This window comes from Homo sapiens, chromosome 6 (assembly GCF_000001405.40).
Source record: "Homo sapiens chromosome 6, GRCh38.p14 Primary Assembly".
In the NCBI taxonomy this organism is placed as follows: domain Eukaryota; kingdom Metazoa; phylum Chordata; class Mammalia; order Primates; family Hominidae; genus Homo; species Homo sapiens.
The window spans coordinates 58,415,959-58,418,859 of record NC_000006.12 but is presented as its reverse complement, the minus strand read 5'-3'; positions in this window follow the sequence as shown (position 1 = coordinate 58,418,859).

Below are 2,901 nucleotides of genomic sequence, written 5' to 3'. Positions count from 1 at the left end.
GAAAAAGACCCTACAGATCTTTATTTCCCAGAGGACACTGGGTGAATATAGTTGCCCCAGTGACTGTTTGAGCAGTAGCTCGAGTGACTGCTCTTAGTTCCATCCAGGCAGGAATTCAGCAAGTTAGATGAGAGGGTGATTTAGAGGCTTGGCAGTTCCCTGTTAGAATACACACCCCAGATAAACAGGGAAATATTACAGATACATTTGAGCCTTTTCCTTTTAAATTACTCAAAGAATTTAAATAAACTATAAATCAGTATGGATCAGGTTCTCCTTTTTTAATGGGACTGTTAAAGAATGTTGCTGTTTCCAGTCAGATGATTCCTACTGACTGGGACATTCTTACTTGAGCTTGTCTAGCTCCTGCTCAGTTGCTACAATTTAAAACTTGGTGGCCAGATGAAGCTTCCATTCAGGCTGCTTACAATGCGCAGGCTGAACCTCAAATTAATATAATTGCAGACCAGCTTTTGGGGACAGGCATCTGTGCTGCTTTAGATGCACAAGTGGTCATGCAAGATGATGCCATAGAACAGCTTAGTGGAGTGTGCATTAGAGCTTGGGGAAAAAATCATTTCAGGTGGAGAACAACACCTTTCCTTTAGTGCTATAAAACAGGGACCAAGAGAACCATACTTTGATTTTATAGCTTGGTTACAGGAGTCTCTTAAAAAGATGATTGCAGATTCGGCTGCTCAGGTTATAGTGTTGCAGTTATTAGCTTTTGAGAATGCTAATCCCGATTGCCAGGCTGCTCTGCGACCTATCAGAGGGAAAGCACATTTAGTTGATTATGTCAAGGCCTGTGATGGTATCGGAGGTAATCTGTATAAAGCTACTTTGTTGGCACAGGCAGTGGCAGAACTGAGAGTCGATAAAGAAAATACTTCATTTCCTGGAGCTTGTTTTAACTGTGGGAAGCATGGTCATACTGAAAAAGAATGTAGAAAAAATCAGTGAGTCAGGCCACCAGATAGGGGAATAAAGAAACTTCTTGAGCCAGAAATATGTCCAAAATGTAAAAAAGGAAACATTAGGCTAATCAGTGTCATTCTAAGTTTGATAAAGATGGGAACCCAATTTTGGGAAATGCCATTAGGGGACCACCCTAGGCCCCATTCTAAACTGGGGCATTTCCAGCTCAGGCCATTCCCTCACCCCTGTACAATGTCTGTCTCCCACCACAGCCAGTAGTGCTGCAGTAGATTTATGCTGCACAAAAACTGCGAGCCTTCTGCCTGGGGAACCCCTGCAAAAGGTCCCAACAGGAGTCTGTGGACCCTTGCCAGTAGGGACAATAGGATTACGTCTAGGAAGGTCTAGTTTAAGTTTAAAAGGGGTACAAATACATACAGGAGTCAATGATTCAGATTACAATGGGGAAATTCAAATTGTTATATCTACTTCTGTTGCCTGGAAAACAGAGCCAGAAGAGGGCATAGCACAGCTCCTGATAACACTGTATGTGGGAATGGGAAAAAGTGAAATTAAATGAACAGAAGGATTTGGAAGCACAAATAAACAAGGCAAAGCAGCTTATTGGGTAAATCAAATAACTGATAAACATCCTACCTGTGAAATAACTATTCAGGAAAGAAATTTAAAGATTTGGTAGATACAGGAGCAGACATTTCAATCATTTCCCTACAGCACTGGCTGTCCATGTGGCCAATTCAACCCCCTCAATTTAACATAGTTGGAGTTCATAAAGCCCCTTAAGTATATCAAAGTAGTTATATTTTGCACTGTGAAGGGCCCGATGGACAAACTGGGACTATTCGACCAATTATAACTTCTGTACCTATAAATTTATGGGGAAGAGATTTATTACAACAATGGGGACCAAAAGTTCTAATTCCAGAACAAATATATAGCCCTCAAAGTCAACATATAATGCATGAAAAGGGGTATGTCCCTGGTATGGGACTAGAAAATATCTGCAAAGTTAGAAAGAACAACTTCAAATGGAAAGACAAACTTCCCACCAAGGTTTAGGATAGCATTTTTTATGGCAGCTATTGTTAAGCCTCCAAAACCTATACCTTCAAAATGGGTAACAGATAAGCCAATTTGGATAGAACAATGGCTGCTAAGTAAAGAGAAACTGGAGGCTTTAGAGAAATTAGTTACTGAACAATTAGAAAATGGGTACATAGCTCCAACATTTTCCCATTGGAATTCTCCAGTTTTCATAATTAAGAAAAATTCAGGTAAATGGAGAATGTTAACTGACTTAAGAGCCATGAATTCAGTAATAAAACCTATGGGAGCATTACAGCCAGGATTGCCTTCTCCTGCTATAATTCCAAAACATTGGCCTTTAATTGTCATAGATTTAAAAGATTGTTTCTTTACTATCCCCTTAGCTGAGCAAGATTGTGAATGGTTTGCCTTTACAATTCCTGCAGTAAACAACCTGCAGCCTGCTAAGCATTATTATTGGAAAGTGTTGCCACAAGGCATGTTAAACAATCCAACAATTTGCCAGAGGTATGTAGGGCAAGCTATTGATCCTACTTATAAAAAATTTTCACAATGTTACATTATTCACTATATGGATGATGTACTTTGTGCTGCCCCCACTCAAGAAATGTTTCTCCAATGTTATGATCACTTGCAAAATTTGATTTCTCACACTGGTTTAATTATAGCTCCTGACAAAATTCAGATTACTACTCCCTACTCCTACTTGGTGACATCAGTAAATGACACTACCATTGAGCCACAGAAAGTAAACATATGTACGGATCAATTGAAAACATTAAAGACTTTCAAAAATTACTAGGGGACATTGATTGGATATGACATGTACTAGGCATTCCTACCTATGCCATGAGTAATCTGTTTTCTATCCTTTGAGGAAATGCTAGTCTCACTAGCCCTCAGCAATCAACAAAG